The sequence below is a fragment of the Homo sapiens genome, chromosome 18, assembly GCF_000001405.40.
Source record: "Homo sapiens chromosome 18, GRCh38.p14 Primary Assembly".
Classification (NCBI taxonomy): Eukaryota; Metazoa; Chordata; class Mammalia; order Primates; family Hominidae; genus Homo; species Homo sapiens.
In genome coordinates, this window is record NC_000018.10 from 23,901,631 (window position 1) to 23,916,452 (window position 14,822).

Below are 14,822 nucleotides of genomic sequence, written 5' to 3' on the forward strand. Positions count from 1 at the left end.
ATTAATTCAAAGTATATATTATGTTTTTGGTAATTTACTTTTTGTGTCAAATATGTATACTTTTTAATGAACATAATTATCATAATCACCAGCAAAGGCATTTTAAGCCATAATCTGCTTTATAGGAAATAAAAGTACAGGCCACCTACAGAAGCTGCAATGACAGAATTTAGAGCTCTGGATTTTGCAGTTCATATATACATATATTTGGCGCCACCACGCCTGGCTAATTTTTGTATTTTTAGTAGAGACGGGGTTTCACCATGTTGGCTAGGCTGGTCTCGAACTCCTGACCTCAGGTGATCCACTCGCCTCAGCCTCCCAAAGTGATGGGATTACAGGCGTGAGCCACCATGCCCGGCCTTATAGTTCATATTTTAAATAGTGAACATTGTATGCTAAAACAATGAGGCCAGGTGCAATGGCTTATGCCTGTAATCCTAACACTTTGAGAGGCCAAGGCAAGAGGATTGCTTGGGCCCAGGAGTTTGAGACCAGCCTCGGCAATGTAGTGAGACCCTGTCTCTACAAAAATTTTTTTAAAAATTAGCTGGTCATAGTGGCATGAGCCTGTAGTCTCAGCTACTCGGGAGGCTGAGGTGGAAGGATCGCTTGAACACACTGGTGGGTTGGGAGCAAGGCTGCAGTGAGCCATTATCGAGCCACTGCACTTCAGCCTAGGCAACAGAATGAGACCTGTCTCAAAAAAAAAATTAAAAACAACAAAAATATGAGCGGTTTTATAGGGTTACAAAACAACAGTAAAATCAAAATTGAATAACACAGGGCAGACCCCAACACAGGAGGAAGTTGGCAAATGAAAATAAATGATGTCTTAGTGGATGACTCCATGCTTAGCTCCCAAAGCCTCTTTGGATAGTACCATGTCTGTGTGAAGTTGCTGATTATGCCAAGGTAAGGGAGCAGACCCAACTTTATAGGCCTCTGAACTCTGGCAGCCTTCCAGCCTGGCATTCTCAGGTTCCGTGTGACCTCTCGGTCAAGTGCCTGCTGTGTTCTCATTGGTACTGGCTGATGGTTAGTGATGGTTTATTTACATAAAATCTTTTGGTCTGTTTCACAAACCAGATTTTGATAATATACCCATCTCATTGGGCAAGTTGACCCCTACTGTAGAAACCTTCTTCAGCAGTGATAGCAATTGTTTCATTGGCATATCATTTAAGGAAACTATGGTGACGTACCTCCACTACAAAAAGAACTGATTTCCTATCACTTTGTAATTGCCTAGACAATGTTCAGGTTCAAGAAAGCATTCTGACTTTGAAATTACGTATATGCTATTGTCCCATAAATTTGTCTATGCCTTCTGATAATATATCATAGAGCTCAAGCAATTTTTTTTTATTTTCTCCAGAGACAAGTGAAAGAAATAAATTCCCTGCAGAGTGATTTCACCAAGTATCTAACCACTGCAGACTCATCTTTGTTGCAAACCAACATTGCGCTGCAGCTGATGGAGAAAAGCCAGAAGGTAGAGGAAATAGTTGTTCTCTAGAAAAATCTAAAAACATTTTAATTATATTGTGAGAAAACAATGAAATGGGCTGACCTACTTTTTTGTTTATTCAAAGTATAGTCTCTTAGATGGAAGAGAATATAATGAAATGTTAACAATAGTTCTCTCTTGCAAAAGAAGTATGAATGACATGTCTTCTTATGTTCATATGTATTACCTAATTTGTCCGCAATGAGCAAATCACTTTTGTGATAGCAACAAAAAAATTATAATGCTATTTTTAAAATATCAAGCATACAAGCATTTATTAACAGAAGATATTTAAGACTTGATCAAAACTGACACAATTTTTTAGCAGTTCAATGGGGATTTTAAAGTGTCTTTTATAATAACTATTTCTTTTTTTTATTATACTTTAAGTTTTAGGGTACATGTGCATAACGTGCAGGTTAGTTACATATGTATACATGTGCCATGTTGGTGTGCTGCACCCAGTAACTCTTTAATAACTATTTCTAAATCATAAAAAAGTTCTTTGGTTTACTACAACTTTATATTGATGATAACATTGTGCTTTTGTAAAGGTTACTAAAGGGTTTCTCACCATAATGAGAATGTTCAAGATAGTGGTAAACCTTGGGGAAATATTACCAGTGCTACTGTCTGAAGTGACCAAGGATTAACTGGTATGGTAAATAGGCTTAGAAAATATAACATCTCATTGTTGCCCCAGAAACACATCAGTTATGATAGAGTTTGAGAAATCAGCACCTACATTCTTTCCTTGAATTTATACTGTCTTTGTTTATTTGGAAAAAATAGGAATATGAAAAATTAGCTGCCAGTTTAAATGAAGCAAGACAAGAACTAAGTGACAAAGTAAGAGAACTTTCCAGATCTGCTGGCAAAACATCCCTTGTGGAGGAGGCAGAAAAGCACGCGCGGTCCTTACAAGAGCTGGCAAAGCAGCTGGAAGAGTGAGTGCATGGCCCAGGAGACCAGAAGGGCACGTGGGCTGAGCTCAGCAGCTTGTCCTGAGACAAGCAAGGCCCTCCCCTGGGTTGGCTGGGTCTCCAGAACTGGGTGGAGGGCGGAGGGTGGGGTCAAGGCCAATGCCCCAGGCCCAAGTCAGAAGCAGAGCAGCAATAAGGGCACTAATTCCTGGCCACGTCCTTTGGGCACAGCTACAGAGGCCATCACCTCAGGTATCCACTTACCAAATGAAATGCGAAGAGGCTGGGCTCAAGTTGATGGCACCACTGCAGTCAAACCTGGCAGACAGAGAGAGACTCTGCCATCTCTTTATTTTATTTTGTTTTTTTCCATTTCTTAAAAAAAAAAAAGAAAGAAAAAATAAAAAGAAGAAATGGAAAGGTTTGGGGGGATGTCAGCTGCTGGCAGAGGAAGGCTGTGGGGAGTGGCTAACCTGCCCTGTCTTCCAGGATCAAGAGAAACGCCAGCGGGGATGAGCTGGTGCGCTGTGCTGTGGATGCCGCCACCGCCTACGAGAACATCCTCAATGCCATCAAAGCGGCCGAGGACGCAGCCAACAGGGCTGCCAGTGCATCTGAATCTGCCCTCCAGGTGGGCACCTGTACCAGCAGCTTCTCCACATTCGCTGTGGAGATGGCTGATTTTTATATTTTCTTTCCGTGGGCTCCAAGGAATAGAAACAAAGCATTATTTTAAATCAGAACTTGTTGTATAGAATAGAACTTGCCCTAGATATGGGTAATTTCTGTATTTGACTATTTCATGTCTGTAGCACAGTTTTAAAACTATGTGTAAAACCAGATAGAAATTACACTGATTGTCAATTTTCAACCTGAACAAATATTATATCCTATATCTTACCAGGTATGCTTCTATGCTGTGATCATTAGCCAAAAAGAGATATTTTTGCAAACAACTTGATCAGCATTTTCATCAGGTCATTTGGTCTTACATCTCGGTGTGTCTGTGGAGTCCTGTGGGATCTTATATGCACCATATGATAATTCCTATATCTGAAAATAAAGAACAAAATATTAAATATCAGAGTTCAGGGGGACAGGCCTTCTTGAATGAGTGAAGACTTTTCTGTCCCAAAGCTTGAAAGCCTGAAAACAACTAAGTTCTCTCCTCTGTTATTGTAGAGGTTTTTGTACGAATGACAGTGAGCAGCTAAAACAAGTGTCACATAATTTGTCAGTATGCCACCAGAGATAGGCCCACCTCCCCAAGCCACATAATTCACATAGGTGTTAGGGCTACCTGGAGCCCTAACTCTTTTAGGGAACAATCTAGTTATAACTCCTTCCCCCTTTGAACTTCATCCTTAAAATTAAGGGCTTCAGACTAGGATAGAAATCTTATTCCATATTTCGTAACATATAGCATTTGTTTAAGGCTGTTAAATGCTTTGCTTTCAGACAGTGATAAAGGAAGATCTGCCAAGAAAAGCTAAAACCCTGAGTTCCAACAGTGATAAACTGTTAAATGAAGCCAAGATGACACAAAAGAAGCTAAAGCAAGGTATTAGGGGGAGTGGGCAATGGCAGGGATAGTCAGGAGCTTTAAATGACCTCTGGGACCAGGTGGGGCAGCCCTAGAAGCAAATGTTGTTTTTGAATCTCAGTGTCAATGCAGATGATACCCTTTATTTATTTTATTTTATTACTATTATTATTTTTAATAGAGATGGGGTCTCCGTTGCCCAGGCTGGAGTGCAGTGGCACAATCATAGCTCACTGTAGCTTTGAACTCCTGGGCTTAAGCTATCCTCCCACTTCAGCCTCCCAAGTAGCTGAGATTACAGGCGTGCACCACCATGCCCAGCTAATTTTTGTATTTTTTTTAGAGGCAAGGTCTTGCTATGTTTCCCAGGCTGGGCTCAAATTCCTGTCCTTACGGGATCCTCCTGTCTCAGCTTCCCAAAATGGTGGGATTACAAGCATGAGCCACCATGCCGGGCCCAGATAATACTTTTTAAATTCATGATTTATTTATCAATTTCATGTATCCACCCAATATTCTAAATATTCCCCACCTATCATGTACAAAATTAACTAGAGCCTTATAAATATAAATAAATCTTGAGAGTGATAGGCCTATTTGGGCCTGGCCTTGGTGGGGAGGCTATTTTAATTTAACCCACCTGTGATCATGGCATTGGCAACCCCACATGTCAAGATCATTGGTTTGGGATCATTAGAATAACTGCTTTAAAATTTCTTAAGTCCTAAAATCTTTGCAACTAAAAGTCCCCAAAATCACTGCTACTGTGAAGCATGAGAATTTTTTAAGCATAAATTTTATCTCTGGAAAATTTTCATGTATTTTACTTACTTATTTTTTTAAATAATTAAACTCTCTCAATCTCACCAAATTTCTGTGTTTGAAAAATGCTGTTTCTTGTGTTTCTCCAGGCTCTTGTTGTCATCCATGAGTCCAAGGCCCTCATTCAGCCTCTTAGTCCTTTCAGAGGGATTAAATGATGCCTCTGTAAATTAAATAATTTCTCTCCTTTCTGCTTCCTTCTTTTCCTTCCTTCTTTCTTTCTCTCTTTCCTTCACATGTTAAAAAATTAAAGACATGAAAAATAAAATACCAAAAAAGTACTAACATACAATCATTTGCCTTGCAAATTTCAATAATTTGGATTTCCTGGTATGACATCTATTTCTCTCTACAAAATTTGAGCTTCGAGGTAGGCTCAGTGTGCTAAACAGGGTTAGGATGCTAACTATGTTGCTATGTAAACCAGTCCTGGAATCGTAATTGAAGCCATGAATCATCAAGATGGTCTTAAAGCATTTGCTGGTCATTTTTGATGACCCAAGGATGGCAATATTATCAGCTAGGAATGTCTGCTAGCTCCCTTTCTTTCACAGAATTTTTAAAATGTGTCATTTTGGAAATTAACAGAAACAAACAGTGCCTACTTTGTGTCTGTATTTGCCTGGATGAGGCTCTTTCAACAACACTCTTTTCTTGTCCTCTGATGGAAGAGGATCCTTTCTACATTATTAATTCATTCATTCACTCATGTATTCATTTACTCAACAAACATATACTAATATTACGCCTCAACTAGTGCCAGACACTACATTATGTGGTAGGACATGGTAGTGGATAAGACAGATGCATCTTTTACTAAACAGAGTCTCTTACTCTGAGCAGTTAAGAAGTTTAGCCTTCCCCAAGTTATTCAGCCTCTTTCTTTCTTCCTGTGTATTTCCAAGGCATTACCACAAGGCTCTGATTTGCTGCTGACCTCTGTAACTGGAGGATCCCAGAGCTGTGGGTCTGGGCACATGCAGTGGGCATCTCTGAGGTGACCCCTAAGAAGCAAGTCTACTCAATGCTGTGCAGACACTGGCTACTTCAGGGGCCACAAATACCAATGGAGGATCAAAATGCACAAAGTAATTGCCTCCTGATGCTTTATTTTATTTTAGAAGTCAGTCCAGCTCTCAACAACCTACAGCAAACCCTGAATATTGTGACAGTTCAGAAAGAAGTGATAGACACCAATCTCACAACTCTCCGAGATGGTCTTCATGGGATACAGAGAGGTCAGCATCTTCCTAATCCATTGTACTCGGTTGGCTTCTTTTGTTGAACGTTTTAGATACTTATACCTCCCTATCTGTGTGTGCATTAGGTGATATTGATGCTATGATCAGTAGTGCAAAGAGCATGGTCAGAAAGGCCAACGACATCACAGATGAGGTTCTGGATGGGCTCAACCCCATCCAGACAGATGTGGAAAGAATTAAGGACACCTATGGGAGGACACAGAACGAAGACTTCAAAAAGGCTCTGACTGATGCAGATAACTCGGGTATCAGGCGATCTCTGGCCAGGACATCTTAGCCATTCTCTCCATTGTTATGTGTTTTGGTCCATTTCCATTCTTCCCTGGTAAAGTCTGATCTCAGAAACTAAAACATTAGAAAACAGCTCCACCTGATACAGGATATATTCAAAGCGTATAGATATCCTGCTAGTTGGAAGGACCAGACAGGATTTTTAATTTTTAGAAAATACATTGAAAATGCTATTGGTTTGCTTTTTTACAAAGTGGAGATATATGTTTCTAAATCATGAGGCATTGAATTATGATTGATATTAAGAATCAGAAAACAGGCTGTGTTTTCTGTGCGCTGTGGCTCATGCCTGTAATCCCAGCACTTTGGGAGGCCGAGGTGGGTGGATCACGAGGTCAGGAGATCGAGACCATCCTGGCTAACATGGTGAAATCCTGTCTCTACTAAAAATACAAAAAATTAGCCAGGCGTGGTGATGGGCGCCTGTAGTCCCAGCTACTCGGGAGGCTGAGGCAGGAGAATGGCGTGATCCTGGGAGGTGGAGGTTGCAGTGAGCTGAAATTGCACCACTGCACTCCAGCCTGGACGACAGAGCGAGACTCCATCTCAAACAAAAAAAAAAAAAAAAAAAGGAAAGAAAGAAAGAAAAAGAATCAGAAAACAAAGGTTTTTTTTTTTCTTTCTGTAGTGGTCAAAGTAAAGGATTTGGTACCTAGATTGCAGAATACAATTCACCATGTACAGTAGTTCCTCCTTATCCTCAGGGGATATGTTCCAAGACCCCTACTGGGTGTGTGAACCCACAGATAGTACCAAACCCTATATATACTATGTTTTTTCGATCTGATAACCCAGACAGCTACTAAGTGACTAATGGGTGGGTAGGGTAGACAGCAAGGATATGCTGGAAAAAAGGAAGATTCACATGGGTGGGACCATATGAGATTTCGTCATGCTATTCCAAACAGCACCCAATTCAAAACTTATGAATTGCTTATTTCTGGAATTTTTCTTTTTTAATATTTTTGGACCATGGTTGATAGCAAGTACTTGAAACCTTGGGAAGTGAAACCATGGGTAAGGGGGGAACTACCGTAACTAATTATGACCCATCCTGTTCAACATCTGGGGACCAAACATGCCACTTGACAAATACTGTCAGTAAGAACATTTGTAGTTAGCCTTTTCTTAATGCACAATCTTACATTTCTATTTTTTTTCTCACCAACAGTGAATAAGTTAACCAACAAACTACCTGATCTTTGGCGCAAGATTGAAAGTATCAACCAACAGCTGTTGCCCTTGGGAAACATCTCTGACAACATGGACAGAATACGAGAACTAATTCAGCAGGCCAGAGATGCTGCCAGTAAGGTGAGTGTGTCCCCACGTGGTCAGTGGCCAAGGCTAGTTCTTTAATGAGTTATCACATTTATCAAGAAAGAAAAAAACACTTATTTACTCAAGAATTGGTTGTCTTTCTTTCCCCAATTCTTGTGTTGCTTGAATATAAAGATTGATTTTCTCCTGTCATCCTTTACAAGTGTACATGACCTTCATCCTTACATTATCTGGTATATCAGGATCCTGAAGCAATTTGCCCCCATTGAGTTTATTCAGGCAGAAAGAAGGATTTTCTTCCAGGCCCCAGTTTGTAAACTGTAATTGCACATTCAAGGGAGGGTTCTGTGGTCAGAATGTGCCAGTGTGATACTGCACAGGACCTACCCTCCTATTGTAACTTGAAAGTTGTAGAATCCATCTTTGCTGAGGATGGAGGATTTAAGATGACAGCAGTTTTCCATCATTGGAGTACTGATTCACCAGCCTTTCTTGTTTTAACCTGACATTATTTGCTTGAATTACTGACACTTGTCTCTTGAGATTTGTTTTGTCCTAAAATGGCATAAATACAATTTCTTATATTTTCCAATAACTCCTAGACAGCCCTACAGGAGAGTTTTGGAGGGAGAGGGTTGGAGAGCCTAGTCAGAATATCATTGCCCTGGAGGCATCGTGCCCAATAACCAGGCTCACTGTTACTTCTTTTGAGCCTCAGAATCTGCCCTTTCTTCTAAGAAAGCAAAGTATTCCCAACATAAAAACTTGAACAGGAAAACAAAGAGCATAAGGCAAAGTTTGGAAGAACGCACCCTCTTCACACTCATACATGCTTTATAAAAACCAAATGAATAAGAATGTATGCTAGCTTTTACCCTTCTGTGTTCATTCACTAATTTATCCAACAAAAATTTGAAGTGTATTATAGCACAGTGGTTAACAGCTGTTTAACCAAGCCAGACTGTCTTGGTTTCAATTCTTGCTCTGCCTTTGGTGAGCTGTGAGACCTGAGCCCTGTCTCTTTACCTCTCTGTGCCTCAGTTTCTTGGTCTATAGAGCATAGAAAGTACCAACCTCATGAGATTGTTAGGGTTAAATGAGCTAATGTGGAACAGTGCCTGGCAAATAGTAGGTACCGTGTTAGTGGAAAAACATAAAATAAAAAGCAGTAAGTAAGTGCTTTTGAATGCCTGGTTGGCATTGGCACTTCTTTGGGTGCTGAGGACACAGAAATTATTAAGTCATAGTTCTGAACTCAGGCTGCTCTCCAGCCACTGCAGGTTGTTTCTTAGACTGTGGTAACAAGCTGGATAGAGGTGTGTTATGTGTATCTTCAAAACCCCCAGTTCTACCTGGAGAGGGTCAGAATAGCACTAATAAGTAGCATTAACAGACATGGATAAGAATGTTCATTGCAACATAGTTTATAATCACACACAAAGATTTTTTTTAAAAAAAGCCACATTTACAATAGCAAACCTGAATGAGCTGGAGCTGTGTGTATCAACATGAATAAATCCAAACACGTAGTGCCCAGAAAAGAAAGCAAGTTGTAGATAAATGTGTACAGGTGGACACCATTTATATAAAAATATTTAAAACATGAAAAATAGGACTAATTACAGTTTACAGATAAATGCATATTTAGTTTTGAAAGATTATGAAAAAATGCATGGGAATTTGCATGGGAATCCAGATCCAGAGTAGTGGTGACCTCTGAGAAGGGAGAGGGGAACGGGTGCCAGTTCTGTCAGTCATGTTCCATTTCATGGTGATGCACATACAGGCATATTCTTCTCCCTCCCTTTCCTTAAATACAAGAAATATCTTAATTTAAAAAATTTAAAGGAAGAGTAGGAATTTGCCAGGTGACAAAAAGCAGGAGAGAATGCCAGGCAGAGACTCAGAGAAGGTTCTGAAGGGCAGGGGGTGAGTAGGAGAGAGAGGCGTGAAATGAGCCTGCAAATGTGGGACCCCATCGCTAAGTCCCCTGATTTAATGCCTTGCATATACAAGATCCTTGATAAATATTTAAATATTGATAGAGAAAATGCAGACTTGAGTTAAATCTCATTCTTTTGTATTCGATCGTTAGGAAATATTTATCTTCTTGGTCCACACACCAGGCCTAGTCAGAGAACTTTTGTCAGTGGTCTATTATATATAGTTATAAAGTTTAGAGTAAATGTTTGGAAGCTTTGAACAATTTGAATTGCCTCAACATGCAAGCATGTGATCGGTGGGCTTGTATTTTGTCTACTTTGTTTTTTTTATTTTTGTAGTGATTTAAATTTGAATATGTTTTACAAAAGTATTTGTCCCTGGCATATTAGAAGGAAAAAATGGTCCTTCACCACAGAGAGCTCAAGAAGCGCTATTTTAGAGAGCCTTGATGTACTCACTTATTTTTCAGGACTGAACACCTATAATAAATAAAACTGTAACATGTAATATATCCAACAGAAGCAGTTCCTTTAAAAGTGCATTTAAAATATTTTAATATATAAGTATAAATTTAATATATGCATATATATTTAATTATATATTATAATCATATATTTTATGCATATATAGTGTTATATAATTATATCTGCTTTTATATATTAAATAAAATTATATATTACATACAATGTACATATAATTATATATGCATTTTAATATAATATATAAAATTATATATTATATAACATATAATTTATGCATTTATTATATATTTAATATATTAAAATGTATATTTATATATAAATATATATAATACATAATTATATATAAATTGTATATTAATATATACTTATAAAAATATATTTTATATATTTAATATATAAATGCATATATTTAAAAATATATATCTATATAAAAACATATAGATATATATAGTTTTTTTTTTTTGAGACAAAGTCTCACTTTGCTCCCTAGGCTGGAGTCCAGTGGCATGATCATGGCATGCTGCAGCCTGGAACTCCTGAGCTCAAGTGATCCTCCCACCTCAGCCTCCCAAAGTGCTGAGATTACAGGTGTGAGCTACTGCACCTGGCTTAAAATATAGTTTTAATGTATTACATGTCTGATTGTATGCCAGGCACCATGCCAAGTGCCTCCATAGATGTTAGTTCATCTGCACAAAAACCTTCTAGGGTTGTAATTCATATTATTGTCATTATCATTATTATTATTGCTAGCACAGAGGACTAAATGCACTGCTCAAATATCCCTGACTAATAAGAAACACAAATGCCTTATGACACAGCTCCGGAAACAGCTTCATGAGTTTATAATCTGGGTCTTGGAGATTATGATCCAGGGCTTAGAGACATTCACATTCCCTTGCTCCTTATCATAACAACTCAGGAAAGGCTGATACATGGCTACGAGTCACAAACTAGCTCTCTGAGCACACCTACTTTCTTCACAGGACAGTGTTTGACACCATGTAACTTACTCCTCACAGGTTGCTGTCCCCATGAGGTTCAATGGTAAATCTGGAGTCGAAGTCCGACTGCCAAATGACCTGGAAGATTTGAAAGGATATACATCTCTGTCCTTGTTTCTCCAAAGGCCCAACTCAAGAGAAAATGGGGGTACTGAGAATATGTTTGTGATGTACCTTGGAAATAAAGATGTAAGTATTGCTTGGACATCTCTCTTGTTTTTGAAACAATGTTTTTCGAGAGGTGTGCTTTTGAGATGTGTGGCACGGCTGCATCACTGCCATTAGCACAGCAGGCAGAAATCCTACTGAGACATCGACAAATCCCTCCAGCTTCCTCCCTGCCCACCTCCCCACTGTGGCAGTGCCCTCGAGGGGCCTCCCATGCATTGTTGGTTGCTAGAGGATCAAGAGGCTTTACCCAATGGGCCCAGCACGTGGGCATGTGTGTGTACATGTAAAAAACATATGCACTTGGGGAGGATGATTGGCACCCCTCCATACTACCAAGTTGTATGATTGACACCACACCACCAGGGATCAATACCAAGGAGGAGTAGCTCCTCCTCACAGAATTGTGACCTTGTCCTCTTCCTCAGACTGCCCAGCCTCAGATCCTTCCTCAAGCCTGTGGGATGGAGAGATTATGGGTGAGGACTGGAGTGGAATGAATCCTCCCTCTCCTGCCTAAATGATAAGAAAAGCAGTTGCCCTGTCTCTTTATCAGTGTAAATTCATCACTACTACTACTATCAGTGTAAATTCACTACCCATACAGGCATTTTGAATGGCTGGCTTTAGCTTTTAATCCCTCCTTTTAAAATACATTTCTTTGACATAAGTGTCAGAGGAAAAGCTAATCACTCACTGGGTTAGGATTCAGTTGTTGGAAGAAAAATGCTTGAAATATGGTTCTCAAAAATTCTGCCCAATTAGGAAATTGTTAGTTGTCACTAGTGGATCTTGTATTTAAAGATTCTTAAAATCAACACTATTGCTAATTACTCTTCCATGCTTCAAGAGGTTGGCATTTTATTTGTAGCTTGTTATGTCATGATTTTTTGCTTTGTTTTGTGGTAAAATGCACATTACTTTATTCCTTCAGCAAATTTATACCATATACCTACTATGTGTCACATTCTGGCTTTGTGATAAACAAAAATTTATTCTCGAATGTACTTAATGCCAATGCACACTTAAAATGGTTAAAATGGTAAGTTTTATGGATATTATGCCGTGATTTTAAAACATTTTGTTTCTACCTTAAGGCGCTCACATTCTAGCAGGGAAGAAAGATGCATATATAACTAACCATGATAACATAGAGGTGTGACAACAGAGGCATGCACAAAGTGTTAAGAGGATGTTGTGTGGTACTGGGAGAAGCAAAATGGCTTATCTCCCTTACCAGACTAAAATCTGTTGGACGGCTGAGTCTATACCTGGGCCCTCTGTATGGTAGGTGCTTGGCACATATTTGTAGATTGAGTGAATGGAGGAATGAATAAATGAGTGCCCTATAACATGAGCAGAGACAGCTCTCACATTATTAATTCTGCATTCTATATTATTCTATAAAATATTGCACCTTGTTTATTCTGTCTCTCCAAGGCTTATTGCCTAAAACCCATTAGTTATTTGAAATGCATCCTCATCCTCTTGGGATGGGAATTTGAGAAACCACAATGTGAAGTGTTCTGAGGTGGCCCTTTGTCTCCAGGCCTCCCGGGACTACATCGGCATGGCAGTTGTGGATGGCCAGCTCACCTGTGTCTACAACCTGGGGGACCGTGAGGCTGAACTCCAAGTGGACCAGATCTTGACCAAGAGTGAGACTAAGGAGGCAGTTATGGATCGGGTGAAATTTCAGAGGTACAAGTCTGATTGACTGTACCTGTGCTCACCAAACTTCCATGTATACATGTTGCTGAACCCCATTTTTAGTGGCTTGGCTTTGAATTCTTCAAATTTTTTGTTTAACTTTATTATCTAAATTCATTTTAAACAGAATTTATCAGTTTGCAAGGCTTAATTACACCAAAGGAGCCACATCCAGTAAACCAGAAACACCCGGAGTCTATGACATGGATGGTAGAAATAGCAATACACTCCTTAATTTGGATCCTGAAAATGTTGTATTTTATGTTGGAGGTTACCCACCTGATTTTAAAGTAAGTGTAAATGTTATTTCACTGAATTAAATATTAAAATTTTAATTTGGTATGGTGATGACCTCATGTCTCTAATTGTTAATTACATATAAAATGGATTTAACCGCACATTCTTACAGCACATTCTAGAGATACTAGCTAACACTTATTGAGTGCTTCCTCTGTGCACTGTTCTAAGCTTTAGTATGTTAATTTAAATAAGCATCATGATCATTCCCATTTTACAGATGAGGAAACAGAGACAGCGAGGTGTAATAACTTGCCCACAGTCATACAGCTAGTAAATAGCAAAGCCAGGGCATCTTGTTCCAGGGTTCACATTCTTAATTAACCCTTATGCCATAGTGACTGTTAAAAGTGATTAATTGATACTATTTTGATTATTGTCCTTTGTTCAATTGGTGGAAGATGTTTTATTTCATTTTCAGCTTCCCAGTCGACTAAGTTTCCCTCCATACAAAGGTTGTATTGAATTAGATGACCTCAATGAAAATGTTCTGAGCTTGTACAACTTCAAAAAAACATTCAATCTCAACACAACTGAAGTGGAGCCTTGTAGAAGGTAAATAAAATGTAGAAACCAGAAACTCTGTAACTGGAGTTTTGGTAACTTGCAGTACTTTTACATATGATAAAGGATGGGCCAGTGAGATGCTATTGATGTTGCTAGTTGCTTTGGGCCAGTAGTTCTTCAAGTATGTGTGCATGCAACACTGGCAGTCCTGCCCTAAAATCTAATTATGGTAGTCTCTTCTTAATTTGTATGAAATGCTAGATAGTTTTCTCACTTGAAAAAAGTCTTTATGAAAATTTTTGTGCCTCCTACCACAAAATATTTAATATTAGATGGTACCTGATCTAGAGGCCTGATTTAGTGGCTCATGCCTGTAATCCCAGCACTTTGGGAGGTTGAGGTGGGCAGATCACCTGGGGCCAGGAGTTTGAGACCAGCCTGGCCAACATGGCGAAACCCCATCTCTATTAAAAATACAAAAATCAGCCGAGTGTGATGGTGTGTGCCTGTAGTCCCAGCCTCTTGGAAGGCTGAGGCACAGGAATCGCTTGAACTCGGGAGGTCAAGGTTGCAATGAGCCAAGATCATGCCACTGCACTCCAGCCTGGGCGACAGAGTGAGACTCCATCTCCAAAAAAAAAAAAAAAAAAAAAAAAAGAAAAGAAAAGAAAAAGAAAAAGAAAAGAAAAGAAAAGAAAAAGTGGTTCATAAAATGTGCCATGACTTTTTTGGTACTCTTCCACCTCAATCTTTTTGAAAATTGCTGCCTTGAACTCCTAACCTTCCCTACAATTACAAGGACATGGTATATTCTAATATGAGGTGGACCAAATATTTATTATTCAGAATAAAATTACATTGCAAGTTAATAATCTCTTACATTTCAAAATCTTCAGCTGGCAGACCACATCTTCCTAAGCAGACATTTCCAAAAGGGTATCTTACTCATCTTTGTCGAGCTAGGGTTTGATTGTCAGAGTATGAGAGCACATCCAGGAGAAAGAGCTGGCTGCCTTAACATTTTAAAGATGTCTCCTCTGCTTTAACAAAATTATGACAACTAGATTGCATTTTCTTG

At 39.1% G+C, this 14,822-nt stretch overlaps 1 protein-coding gene across 15 annotated transcripts in view; it reads left to right on the forward strand.

Moving 5' to 3' along the window:
- The window catches only part of LAMA3 (laminin subunit alpha 3), a 265,614-nt gene that overhangs the window by 212,178 nt on the left and 38,614 nt on the right, over window positions 1-14,822 (forward strand). For 13 of the 15 annotated variants that reach the window (XM_011525978.3, XM_011525980.3, XM_011525979.3 and 10 more), the window contains 11 exons: window positions 1,379-1,495; window positions 2,303-2,457; window positions 2,923-3,064; window positions 3,892-3,994; window positions 5,920-6,036; window positions 6,126-6,305; window positions 7,523-7,665; window positions 11,081-11,251; window positions 12,780-12,931; window positions 13,068-13,230; window positions 13,659-13,792. In XM_011525978.3, the coding sequence (XP_011524280.1) occupies window positions 1,379-1,495; window positions 2,303-2,457; window positions 2,923-3,064; window positions 3,892-3,994; window positions 5,920-6,036; window positions 6,126-6,305; window positions 7,523-7,665; window positions 11,081-11,251; window positions 12,780-12,931; window positions 13,068-13,230; window positions 13,659-13,792 (1,577 nt within the window). The remainder of the gene's footprint in view (window positions 1-1,378; window positions 1,496-2,302; window positions 2,458-2,922; window positions 3,065-3,891; window positions 3,995-5,919; window positions 6,037-6,125; window positions 6,306-7,522; window positions 7,666-11,080; window positions 11,252-12,779; window positions 12,932-13,067; window positions 13,231-13,658; window positions 13,793-14,822) is intronic. The other 2 variants (XM_011525982.3, XM_047437506.1) reach the window with 1 other exon arrangement.